The 13,675-nt window shown below is 44.8% G+C and overlaps 1 annotated feature.

Annotated features, from left to right (window-relative positions):
* Positions 7,016–7,310: an enhancer, noted in NCBI's record as "tiled region #12272; K562 Activating DNase matched - State 5:Enh". NCBI's record gives its function as "activates a minimal TATA promoter and a strong SV40 promoter by Sharpr-MPRA in K562 cells {active_cell/tissue: K562}" and the evidence as "EXISTENCE:reporter gene assay evidence [ECO:0000049][PMID:27701403]".

The following is a 13,675-nucleotide window of genomic DNA, read 5'->3' on the forward strand; positions in this document are numbered from 1 at the left end:
AGATCACATCACTGCACTCCAGCCTGAGTGACAGTGAGACTCTGTCTCAAAAAAGGAAAAAAGAAAAGAAATTAAAATTAAATAAATTTTAAAAATCTTTTTTTCTTTCTTTCTTTCTTTTTCTTTTTTTCAAAGAAGTCTCCTAAGAGCCAGGCTATTAGCACTATCCTCCCTTTCAAGTGCTATACAGTGATCAGGTGAAACTGGAGAACATCTGAGTTGGGAGAGAATTCTAAGATCTCAAGTGTAAAAGCTTAATTTCACTGACTAAAAACTGAAGTCCAGAAAAGGAAAGAGGTTTTTGGCAAGGGGACACAGCCAACTGGTGGCAGAGCTGGCAATAGAACCCAGGATCCTTTTGACAACCCCCACCCCACATACACACATCCTCCCAAAGTGTGATCTTGCTCCAAAAAGCTAGCTTCTCTCCGAGTTTTCGCGTTTCTATCAGAAGCCCCCTCATCCTTTTCTTTTTCTCCCCCCTTTATGGCTATCTATCTTCTACAGGAAGGACAGAAGCCCTTTTCTTCTCAGTGAATAAGATTGGGAATCTTGGCCGCGCGCAGTGGTTCACACCTGTAATCCCAGCACTTTGGGAGGCCGAGGTGGGCAGATCCCCTGAGGTCAGGAGTTCGAGACCAGCCTGGCCAACATGATGAAACCTCATCTCTACTAAAAATACCAAACCAGCAGGGCATGATGGCGCATGCCTGTAATCCCAGCTACTCAGTAGGCTGAGGCAGGAGAATCGCTTGAACCTGGGAGGCAGAGGCTGCAGTGAGCCGAGATTGTGCCACTGCACTCAAGCCTGGGCAATAAGAGTGAAGCTCCGTCTCAAAAAATAATAATAATAAATAAAAAGATTGGGAATCTTGAGAAACTAAAAGAAAAGGGCAAATACTTAAAGAAAAAAGAAAAGACTGGGAATCTGAGAGTCATTCTTAGGTATTTTTGTTATCCCACGTGTGCAAGTAATGATTCCTATTGAGGCTTGCTTTAAAATATCTTACTCTCTATTCCACCCTTGCCTTCAGTCTGTGCCTGCTGCTGCCCCCTACCTCTGACCTCTCTCCAGGCCACCCGGTAGATAGCTAACATATTCATGATAACTTACAATTGTCATACACATACACGGCATCACTGTGCTGTGTTCTACATGTGTTACTTTATTCCTCTAAAAGACCCCATAAGCTGGGTGCCTTTATTACCCGCATTTTATAGATGAAGAAACTGAGGCTCAGTGCAGTTAAATAATATTTGTAAGATCTCACAGCAAGCAAGGAGCAGAACTGGGATTTTATTTATTTAACTTATTTATTATTATTATTATTATTATTATTATTGAGACAGAGTCTTGCTCTGTCGCCCAGGCTGGAGTGCAGTAATGTGATCTCGGCTCACTGCAGCCTCCACCTCCTGGGTTCAAGCAATTCTCCTGCCTCAGCCTCCCAAGTAGCTGGGATTACAGGCACACACCACCACACCTGGCTAATTTTTGTATTTTTAGTAGAGACAGGGTTTCGCCATGTTGGCCAGGCTGGTCTCAAACTCCTGACCTCAGGTGATCTGCCCGCCTCAGCCTCCCAAAGTGCTGGGATTATAGGGGTGAGCCACCGCGCCTGGCCGGAACTGGGATTTTAGAAGAACCAAGTGGTCTGGTGCCAAACTCCAAACTCCCAGCTGCTATACAATACTGCGTTTCTCTGAAGCACCCATACGACCATGTCACTCCTGTGCTCAAGTCTCTTCAGTGCCTCCCTTCTGACTGTGGTCGTTCAAATTCCTACTTGGGCATTAAAGGCTCTTCAGTGGTTTGTCTCTCGCTCTCCTGCAGGTAAGTTTATGCGCTTTGCTGTGTCTCACGTCCCTCCTCTATTACTTGAGTGTGATAATACCCTCTCATGAGGCTGCCACGAGGATTAAAGGAGGTCACTCAGCACAAAGTGACACAATTGGTGTTAGTGATCATTTAGTTACCTTTGTACTGTTTCTCCCAACTTACTTAGAGGACTCCTCTGACCAGAATGTTGCTGCAAATAAACAGTGCTTGTTGCTAAACTGAATGCGAATGTAAATTTTCCCTTCCTAGAAATGTTCCCCACTCCCATATGCCAACATCTCCAAATCCGTCCAAACCCAACCATCCTCCAATCACTCTACTTCACTGCCCCCACCCCCCCACTAATTGAAACTCCTGAGACACTTACTCTTTTTTTTTTTTTTTTTGAGGCAGAGTCTCACTCTTTCACCTAAGCTGGAGTGCAATGGTGCGTTCTCGGCTCACTGCAACCTCCACCTCCCAGGTTCAAGTGATTCTCCTGCCTCAACCTCCCGAGTAGCTGGGACTAGAGGCTCACACCACCATGCCCAGCTAATTTTTGTATTTTTAGTAGAAATGAGGTTTCATCATGTTGGCCAGGCTGGTTTCGAACTCCTGACCTCAAGTGATCTGTCCACCTCGGTCTCCCAAAGTGCTGAGATTATAGGCGTGATCCACCACGCCTGGCCTCGGGGACGTTTATTCTCATCATTCTTTTTTTTCCACACCACTATTTATTTACTCGTTTGTTAAGCATTTATCAAGTGCTTACTCTAATAATAACAATGCCTGTACAGACAGTCCCTGAGTTAATGGTGACTGACTTAATGATATTTTCAGTTGATGATGGGTTTACAGGGATATAACCCCATCTTACACTTGCTTGGTTATTTTTTTTTTTTTTGTCTTTTTTTTTTCCTTTCTGTGGAGAACGGCGTCTTGCTGTATTGCCCAGGCAGGTCTCGAACTTCTGGGCTCAAGCTATCCTCCCACCTCCTCCTCCCTAATAGTTGGGATTACAGGCATGAGCCACCATGGCCGGTGGACGTAACCCCAACTTAAGTCGAGGAGCATCTGTATTTGACTTGATACTTTACGAAGGGCTCCATACCACAGCTCTGCATCTGTAAATCCTCACAAAAGGCTTGGAAGGGGTTCCCATTTTTAGGCTGCCCTAGTTTTACCAGCTGGTGGTAAACCCTGGTGTCAGCACCAGCATTCCTGGGGATCCAGAGGTGATGCTGACAGGACCCCCGTCTTCAGGGCATGTATTGCTGGGTCTGTCCCGCAGACCCTGGCTGACAGATGAAATGAGTACTCAGACAGAGGTATGCAGTGTAAGAGCAGCTAGGCGACTGCCTGGCTCTAGTGTCCAGAGAGCAGCCCGAGAGCTGGAGCTGCTTGCTTTTATTCAGTGCAGGCACAATGACGAAAACCTGGAGCCAACACAACCTGCAGGTAATTAACATTTATCATTCCCTTTTCAGGCAACATCATGCACGCGGATGATCAACAGTCAGTTCCTGGTCAACATAAGTAAACAAGCCTGTTTAAGATAAATTCCCCCACACTCCCTTGTACCTACTCCTTGCCCTCTGCCCCAGGGTTATAGAACAGCTGCTTTCTGCTATTCTCCCCCCAGGCTCTGCAGAACCTTCTGACCTTTCAGAAGGTTTGCATCCTTTCCCTATAGTTTTTCCACCGCTCTGACCAGTCCCCCACAATATATAGCCTTGTATGCAAAGCCAGGCCTGTCCATGCAGGGTGACCATCCAAGGTAGACAGTGGCAAAATCTGGTGGAGGCATCAGAGATAGTGCCATCAGTTTGCTGGAACAAGCATATCAAGGAGCCTGGCAGATCTACACTTCACCAGACGGTGCCTGTAGCCAACAGGGCAGGCCCTTGCTCCAGGGAAACACTCAGAAATCAAAACTCCTTGCTCTGCTGCCAGGGAACTCTCCAGGAGATCCTCAGTGTCATCAGAAGCTGAAAAAAACAGTGCTGAGAAACGTGGCCTGCCGTCTTTCCAGCTAAGGGAGATGGCCCATTCGACCCTGGGTTGTCCTCTGCAAACGCGCTGCTGCAGGTTGCATGGCACCATCTCCTGATTGCAATTTGCTTTCCTGAGGGAGTGAACTGACTGAAATTGGATGGTAATAAGTTGCTAGGTTATTTTCCACTTTTTAGTTTATGAGGCTTATTCATTTTGCTTTAACATTAACCACTGCCTTCCTTTTAAGGAGCTGGTGAGGCAGCGCATGGCAACAGGTTCAGGGTGAGGAGTGGCACCACCTCCTTTCAGTGAGGATTTGGGAAGGGTGAAAAGCACCCTAATCTTCTCAGCCGCATGTGAACAAACCACCTGTCAAGGTGGGTCCTTCCTATAGGGAGGTTGATGTCAGCCCTTCAGGGAGGTCTCAGTTTTCTTCCTCCACTTCCTAATCCCTTCATTATAATTCCTTCCACAACAGAATAAGTTTCTTGAGCAATGCAGCAATATCCAGCAATTTTAGATAGACATTTACCTTTTGACCTAGAAATCTCACTTCTACGAATCCATCCTAAAGACACACTTTCAGCTGGATGTGGTCGCTCATGCCTGCGATCCTAACACTCTGGGAGGCTAAAGTGGAAGAATCTCTTGGGCTCAGGAGCTCAAGACCAGCCTGGGCAACATAGGAAGACCCTATCTCTAAAAAAAATAAAAATAAAAACGGCACACAGTCAAAAATTCAAAAATTAATATACATAAGGCTATTTATTACAGAAACATTGGTAGTAGCAAAAGACTGGAAATAACTCAATGCCCATCAATAGGGAACGGAGTAAATAAACTAAGATACCTACACATAATGGAGTGCCATGCAGCTTTGAAAGGAAATGAGGCATATTTCTATGTTATATGTTGTGATCACCAGAATATAACCTAATGAGTAAAAAGCCAGGTGAAGAAAATTCTGATAATATGCTATCATTGGAGAGGGGAATATGAATATACCATACATCACATAGGAGGAGAGAGGAAATAAAGTGAGAGGATTGGGATAGAAGCTAGACTTTTCTAAATATATCTTGTTTTATAGATTTATGTTGGAAGTTTGTGGATATAGTACTTTAGAAAAGTATAAAACCAAATTAGACTTGACAAAATGAAACAAGTCAATCTGTTGAGTTGATGGTGTAACTACACAGTGAGAAACTATTGCAAATGACCTTAACACTCAGGAATTCCACTGTATATTCCTAATGGGAGATCCCCTAATGACCAAACTTAAACCCAGTCCAACCAAACCAAAAAACCTTGTAAAATATCTGAAACCATTTTTAGTAATGAAATGAGAAATGTGGTCGTGTTGGTGATATGGTTTGGCTGTGTCCCCACCCCGACATCATCTTGAATTGTAACTCCCACAATTCCCACATGTCATGAGAGGAACCCAGTGGGAGGTGATTGAATTATGGGTGTGGGTCTTTCCTGCGCTGTTCCCATGATAGTGAATGACAAGATCTGATGATTTTAAAAACGGTTTCCCCGCACAACCTCCCTCTCTTGCCTGCCACCATCTATGTAAGATGTGACTTGTTCCTCCTTGCCTTCCGCTGTGATCGTGAGGCCTCCCCAGCCATGTGGAACTGTAAGTCCATTAAACCTCTTTTTCTTCCCAGTCTCGGGTATGTCTTCATCAGCAGCATGAAAATAAACTCATACAGTAAATTGGTACCAATAAAGTGGGGTGCTGCTGAAAAGATACCCAAAAATGTGGAAGCGACTTTGGAACTGGGTTATCAGGCAGAGGCTGGAACAGTTTGGAGGGCTCAGAAGAAGACAGGAAAATGTGGGAAAGTTTGGAACTTCCTAGAGACTTGTTGAATGGCTTTGACAAAAATGCTGATAGTGATATGAACAATAAGGTCCAGGCTGAGGTGGTCTCAGATGGAGATGAGGAACTTGTTGGGAACTGGAACAAAGGTGACCCTTGTTATGTTTTAGCAAAGAGACTGGTGGCATTTTGCTCCTGCCTTAGAGATTTGCAGAACTTTGAACTTGAGAGAGATGATTTAGAGTATCTGGTGGAAGAAATGTCTAAGCAACAAAGTATTCAAGAGGTGACTTGGGCGTTCTTAAACACATTCAGTTTTATAAGGGAAGCAGAGCATAAAAGTTCAGAAACTTGCAGCCTGACAATGTAATAGAAAAGAAAATTCTATTTTCTGAGGAGAAATTCAAGCTGGCTGCAGAAATTTGCATAAGAAATGGGGACCCAAATATTAATCTCCAAGACAATGGGGAAAATGTCTCCAGGGCATTTCAGAGGTCTTCATGGCAGCCCCTCCCATCACGGGACCAGAGGCCTAGGAGGAAAAAAATGGTTTCTTGGGCCAGGCCCAGGGTCTCCGTGCTGTGTGCAGCCTAGGGACTTGGTGCCCTGCATCCCAGCTACTCCAGCCATGATTAAAAGGGCCCAAGGTACAGCTCGGGCCGTGGCTGCAGAGGGTGCAAGCCTCAAGCCTTGGAAGCTTCTATGTGGAATTCAACCTGTGGGTGCACAGAAGTCAAGAACTGAGGCTTGGGAACCTCTGCCTAGATTTCAGAGGATGTATGGAAACGCCTGGATATCCAGGAAGTTTGCTGCAGGGACAGGGCCCTCATGGAGAACCTCTGCTGGGACAGTGTGGAAAGGAAATGTGGAGTTGGAGTCCCCACACAGAGTCCCAACTGGGGCACCACCTAGTGGAGCTGTGAGAAGAGGGCCACTGTCCTCCAGACCCCAGAATGGTAGATCCACCGACAGCTTGCACATGTGCCTGGAAAATCGGCAGACACTCAACACCAGCCCATGAAAGCAGCCAGAAGGGAGGGTGTACCCTGCAAAGCCACAGGGGCTGAGCTGCCCAAGACCATGGGAACCCACTTCTTGCATCAGCGTGACCCGGATGCGAGACATGGAGTCAAAGGAGATCATTTTGGAGATTTAAGACTTAACTGCCCTGCTGGATTTCTGATTTGTATGGGGACCAGAGCGCCTTTGTTTTGGCCAATTTCTCCCATTTGGAATGGCTGTATTTACCCGATACCTGTACCCCCATTGTATCTGGGAAGTAACTAACTTGCTTTTGATCTTACAAGCTCCTAGGCGAAAGGAATGTGCCTTGTCTCAGATGAGACTTTGGACTGTGGACTTTTGAGTTAATGCTGAAATGAGTTAAGACTTTGGGAGACTGTTGGGAAGGCATGACTGGTTTTGAAACGTGAGAACATGAGATTTGGGAGGGGCCAGAGGCGGGATGATATGGTTTGGCTGTGTCCCCACCGAAATCTCATTTTGAATTGTAACTCCCACAACTCCTGTGTGTCATTGGAGGAACCCAGTGGGAGGTGATCGAATTATGGGGGCAGGTCTTTCCTGTGCGGTTCTCATGATGGTAAATGAGTCTCACAAGAGCTGATCGTTTTAAAAGTGGGAGTTTCCCTGTACAAGCTGTCTCTCTTGCCTGCTGCCATTCATGTAAGATGTGACTTACTCCTCCTTGCCTTCCACAATGATTGTGAGGCCGTCCCAGCCATGTGGGACTGTAAGTTCATTAAACCTTTTTTTCTTTCCAGTCTTGCATATGTCTTTATCAGCAGCATGAAAATGGACTAATACAGTTGGTAAGACTGTTTTGCATGTATTATAGGATAAAGCAATGAGTAATTATGTTGTTTTGAAAAGTGGGATGTTTTACATCCCAGGTATGGATATAAGATCAATAAAGTTAAGTAGAAACACTTTAGTCTTACCTAAATTTGAAATAGAACTATTAGTAAGAATCCATAAAGTATTTGCTTGTAAAAAATTCTTTCTAGAAACCATCATCAATTCAAAAGCAAGCATTTCTTGCACACAGAATATGATCTCTAAATGCCATTTACTAAAAGAAAGCAGGGCTCCTTAGAAAAATGGCTGATTCCAGATCTGGGCTCCTGGGAAAGAAATGTACAAGATGAGCCTGGAACATCATATTATACACCTGATAATCAAGCATTTATCAAGAACAATAGGGTGATTTCACAAGGCAAATACCAGATATTATGTGCCTCCTGATGAAAAACATTAGTCATGAAGTAGTCTTGCCAAAATCCCTAACCTAAATCTGATCAACTACTCTAAATCCAACTTCTAGTTTACAGGAAATGTCAAGGACAGAGAACATGTTAAATCATACTGCTGGTTGCAATCACCAAAATTATTGCAGTGGCTCATGCCTATAATCCCAGCACTTTGGGAGGCTAAGGAGGGCAGATTGCTTGAGCCCAGGAGTCTGAAACCAGTCTGAAATATAGTGAGACCCCCATTTCTACAAAAAATTGAAAAATTAACCAGGCATGGTAACATGCACCTATGGTCTCAGCTACTCTGCAGCCTGAGGCAGGAGGATCGCTTGATACCAGGAGTTTGAGGGTCCCTTGAGCCATGATTGCACCACTGCATTCCAGCCTGTGTGACAGAACGATACCCTGTTTAAAAAAAAGAAAATATCACAAAGACTTAGTTGCCTATAGTCCTAGCTACTCAGGAGGATGAGGCAGGAGCATGAGGCTGGAGGATGGCTTGAGCCCAGGAGTTCCAGTCCAGACTGGGCAACATAGTAACCCCCTCCCTTAAAAAAAAAACAAAAACAAAAACAAAAAAACAGACTCAGTCAACTTGAAGAGGCCCCCACTAACCAAAGAATAAGATAATCTGAGCATCAATAAGAATTATAACTGTGATGAATTGAAGCTCATCAAATGTTTAAAACCATGAATTCATGCTTTTTAAAAATTAAATCTATTGGTCACTTTTGGTGGGTGCTAGGGATCCATTTGTTATTTTGAAAATTGGCAAATAAAGAGAGAGAAGCATTTATATTACCTTTCCAGTGACAAATATAGCTTATGTTAACTGCATAGACGATCAGGGAAACCTTTTTTGGATGTATTACAGCTATTAAACAGAGAAAGACTAGAAGGATTACAATATCACCATTTTGCCATCTTTAGTAAATTAACAGGCCTGGACTTTGATCATCAATGACGGTCAAAAGACAAATACATGAGTGCCTCCCGATGAGAAACAGTCATGAAGTAGTCTTGCCAAAAATCACTAACCTGTCTGGTCACTACTCTAAATCCAACTACTAGTTTACAGGAAATGCCAAGGACAGGGAACGTGTTAAATGATACTGCTGAATGCAGTCGCCAAAACTCAGATGGTGAGAAATTCCATGAGATAAATGACCCAGCTTCTTCAACAAATACATTACAAGCAGGAGGAACTTATCAAGTAAAAGGGATCCAAGAGGCATACTGAAGTCTATGGGTGAAAATGATGCCATGATATGATTTGCTTCAGAATAATCCAGGAAGGGATTAGTCATAAAATAAGATTAGCCATGAATTCTTTTTTTTTTTTTTTTTTTTTTTTGAGATGGAATCTCGCTCTGTCACCCAGGCTGGGGTGCAGTGGTGCGATCTCGGCTCACTGCAACCTCTGCCTCCCGGGCTCAAGCAATTCTCCTGCCTCACCCTCCCAAGTAGCTGGGACTACAGGCGTGTGCTACCACACCTGGCTAATTTTTTGTTTTTAGTAGAGACGGGGTTTCACCATGTTGGCCAAGCTGGTCTCGAACTCCTGACCTCAGGTGATCTGCCCACCTTGGCCTCCCAAAGTGCAGGGATTACAGGTGTGAGCCACTGCGCCTGGCCGAATTCTTAATTATTGAACCTAGGTGATAGAATCGTGGAAGTTTATGATACCATTCTGTCTCCTTTTATGTTAGAAATTTTCCATAGTGAAATAAATAAATAAATAAATAAACAAAAAGGAAACTAAAGACTGAAGCCACAGAAAAGCTAAACAAACAAAATAAAGACTTTCTCTCTCTTTTTTTTTGGACACAGGGTCTTGCTGTGGTGCCCAGACTACCTGGGCTGCAGTGCAACGGTGCCATCTCAGCTTACTGCAGCCTCAACCTCCCAGGCTCAAGAGATCTTCCCAACTCCTGAATAGCTGGGACTACAGGTTCGCGCTACCATGCCCAGCTAAGTTTTCCATTTTTTTGTAGAGACAGGGTCTCGCCATGTTGCCCGGTCTAGTCTCAAACTCCTGGACTCAAGTGATTCCCCTGCCTAGGCCACCCAAAGTGCTGGGATGGATTACAGGTGTGAGCCGCCATGCCTGGCCAGAAGGTGAATTTTGAAGTCAGGTCGACTCGGCTTCAGTTCTGGCTTAGCCACTCCATAACTGTGTGACAAGAGACAAGTTCTAGCTCTGAAACCCAATTTTCTCAGGAAAATGGTGACAGTACACACCACCGTTCCGTTGTATGAATTAAAGGTAACAGTTGGGCAATGCTTGGCAGAGCTCCTCGCACATAGTAACCACCTTTACTTATTGCTGGAGGGAAGGTTGTACACCCTTGGGCCTTTTCTCTTTTTGAAATAGCTGGTATGGAACTCAGGTGACAAGACTAGTGGAGGCAGGAAGAGGGACCCAGGAATTCTATCTTCCTATGGCTAAAAGGGGAAAAAGAAGCTTCCCCGCCTGGAATACTTCCTGAATCTTGCCCCTCCTCCCCATTTTTCAGGGCTCTTTTCTAGTTCTGCCTCCAGGCAAAATTAGTACCTCCTCTTTTTGCCTCAGCTTTTCCACAAGTCTATTTGAACACATCCTTTGACCCCTTTTATTGGTGTGATTTGAACCAGGCACAGTGGCTCAGGCCTGTAATCCCAGCACTTTGGGAGGCCAAGGCGGGAGGATCACTCGAGTCCAGGAGTTGGCGACCAGTCTGGGCGACATAGCAAGACCCTGCCTCTGTTTTAAAAACTTTTTTTTTTTTTGAGACAGAGTCTTGCTCTGTCACCCAGGCTGGAGTGACGTGGCGCAAACTCGGCTCACTGCAAGCTCCACCTCCTGGGTTCAAGCGATTCTCCTATCTCAGCCTCCCGAGTATCTGGAATTACAGGTGCATGCGACCATGCCCGGCTGATTTTTGTATTTTTAGTAGAGACGGGGTTTCACCACGTTGGCCAGGCTGGTCTCAAACTCCTGACCTCAGGTGATCTGCCAGCCTTGGCCTCCCAAAGCGCTGGGATTACAGGCATGAGCCACCGCACCCAGCCTTGAAAAAACAATTTTTTTAAGTAATTAAATATTAGTGTGATTTTTTTTCTGTTCTTCCTCCACTGTTCCCCAAGCTATAAACTTCCCTACAGGGCAAGAGTCTTCAAGATCTTTCTTTCTACCCAGGTGCCCAGAACAGTGTCTGGCACATTGTAGGCGCTCAAAAAAATGCTTACTGCCTCGGAAACCTGACCAGAAAAGGCCAACTGTATGTGGGGTGGGGAAGGGAATGAGAAGGGTTAACCTTTCTCCTCCACCTTCAGCTCTGTGTCAGATGATATACAAGTGGAGACTGAATCCCGTAGATTTATAGTGTGTTTTATGATGATATAAACAGAGCTTTTTTGTTATTATTAATCATCCCATTTATGCATTTCAAAAATCCACAAAAATTCATCATTAAAATTTGTTTCATACCTTCTCATCCTTTCTCTCAATAACGTAGCAGTGTTAGAATTTTGTCTCAATTCGTCATGGCCTTCAGGTAGCACTTGTCTGCTGGACACAGAGGGACAGGAATTCTCAACCTGAAGACTGCAAGTTTCAGCCACCTATGAAGTTTCAGCATCCTGATGTTGCAAAATGGTACATATACATGTGTACCTATATACATTTTTTTTTGAGACAGAGTCTTGCTCTGCTACCCAGGCTGGAGTGCAGTGGCATGATCTCAGCTCACTGCAACCTCCACCTCCCAGGTTCAAGCGATTCTCCTATGTCAGCCTCCTGAGTAGATGGGATTACAGGTGTGTGCCACCACACCCGGCTAATTTTTTATATTTTTGGCAGAGATGGGGTTTCACCACGTTGGCAGGCTGGTCTCAAACTCCTGACCTCAAGTGATCTGCCTGCCTTGGCCTCCCAAAGTGTTGGGATTACAGGCATGAGCCACCACCCCTGGCCCATATATGCATTTTTGGATAGGGTGATGGTCTGTGATTTTTCAGTCAGATGCTCTCATGGGTTCCTGACCTAACAAAGGAGAATGACTACATTCAATAGAAGAGGTGCAAAATAATGAGAAACACTAAGTGTTCACTGAGAACTCTTTCTTTTCTTTTTCTTTTTCTTTTTTTTTTTTTTTTTTTGAGACGGAATCTCACTCTGTCACCCAGGCTGGAGTGCAGTGGCGCGATCTCAGCTCACCACAACCTCCGCCTCCCAGGTTCAAACAATTCTCCTGCCTCAGCCTCCCGAGTAGCTGGGATTACAGGCATGCACCACCACGCCTGGCTAACTTTTGTTTTTTTAGTAGAGATGGAGTTTCTCCATGTTGGTCAGGCCAGTCTGAAACTCCTGACCTCAGGTGATCCACCTGCCTCGGCCTCCCAAAGTGCTGGGATTATAGGCGTGAACCACTGTGCCTGGCCTAGTGTACCCATTCTTTAAGGCCCCACTCCTGTCCCTTCTCCCTACCACTGTCCCTGCCTCTTACCCAACCAGTTGTCTTTCTCTCTTGTAAACTCCAACATTTCACATTTATCTCTTGTTATATGTGGCTAGTAACCATTGATCACCTTCCTTATGTTTGCTCATGTTTTACCTTCCCAGCTAGTCTGTATGCTTCTCGAAGGCTAGGCTCATATTGCACATCATTGTATCTTCTTTGCCCTCTGGAAGGCTAGGATCATATTGCGCATCATTGTATCTTCTTTGCCCTCTGGAAGGCTAGGATCATATTGCGCATCATTGTATCTTCTTTGCCCCCGGAGCATGGCCTGCCTAGAGGGGATATTTGGTCATTTCTTTTTCATTGATTGGTTTTATAACCACCATAATGTTTGAACTCCTTAATGTGGCCTACATGGATTGGTCTTTGCCACCCTATTTGGCCTCATTTGTGTCTCCTCCCCCTTTACATTTTATACCTAGCCATCCTCAATACCAGCCAGTTCCTTAGAAATTCCATGGGCCAAGCACAGTGGCTCATCACACCTGTAATCCCAGCACTTTGGGAGGCCGAAGCGGGCGGATCACCTGAGGTCAGTAGTTCCAGACCAGCCTGACCAACACGGTGAAACCCCATCTCTACTAAAATACAAAAATTAGCCAGTTGTGGTGGTGCACGCCTGTAATCCCAGCTTCTCGGGAGGCTGAGGCAGGAGAATCGCTTGAACCCAGGAGGTGGGGGTTGCAGTGAGCCCAGATCGCCCTACTGCACTCTAGCTTGGGTGACAGGGCAGTGACCCTGTCTCAAAAAAAAAAAAAAAGAAAGAAAGAAAGGAAAGAAAGAAGGAAGGAAGGAAGGAAGGAAGAAAGAAAGAAAAAAAGAAAGAAAGAGAAAGAAAGAAAGAGAAAGAAAGAAAAGAAGAAAGAAAGAAAGAAAGAAAGAAAGAAAGAAAGAAAGAAAGAAAGAAAGAAAGAAAGAAAGAAAGAAAGAAAAATTGCAGCCATGACACCTCACACAGCTTCCTCTGCCGGAACACTCATCTCCTCTTCTGTCTGGTTGACTCTTCTCAACATTTGCATCTCAATCTGGGAATTACTTCCTAACGAGAAGTCTTCCCCTGGACTTCATCAGAAAGTACAAATTAGTAAGATTGCGCCAGCAAAATGCGTAGTGTGTGAGAAAGCACTTAGCAAGAGGAAATGAGAAACATTCACGTCCACTTACTCATGAGCTTGCTCCAGCTTCTTCTTCTCCTGTCCCCTAGTTCCCTCTGGATGTCAGCCATCTGAAATTACTCACAGGACATCTGAATGCACTT

The sequence above is a fragment of the Homo sapiens genome, chromosome 3, assembly GCF_000001405.40.
Source record: "Homo sapiens chromosome 3, GRCh38.p14 Primary Assembly".
Classification (NCBI taxonomy): domain Eukaryota; kingdom Metazoa; phylum Chordata; class Mammalia; order Primates; family Hominidae; genus Homo; species Homo sapiens.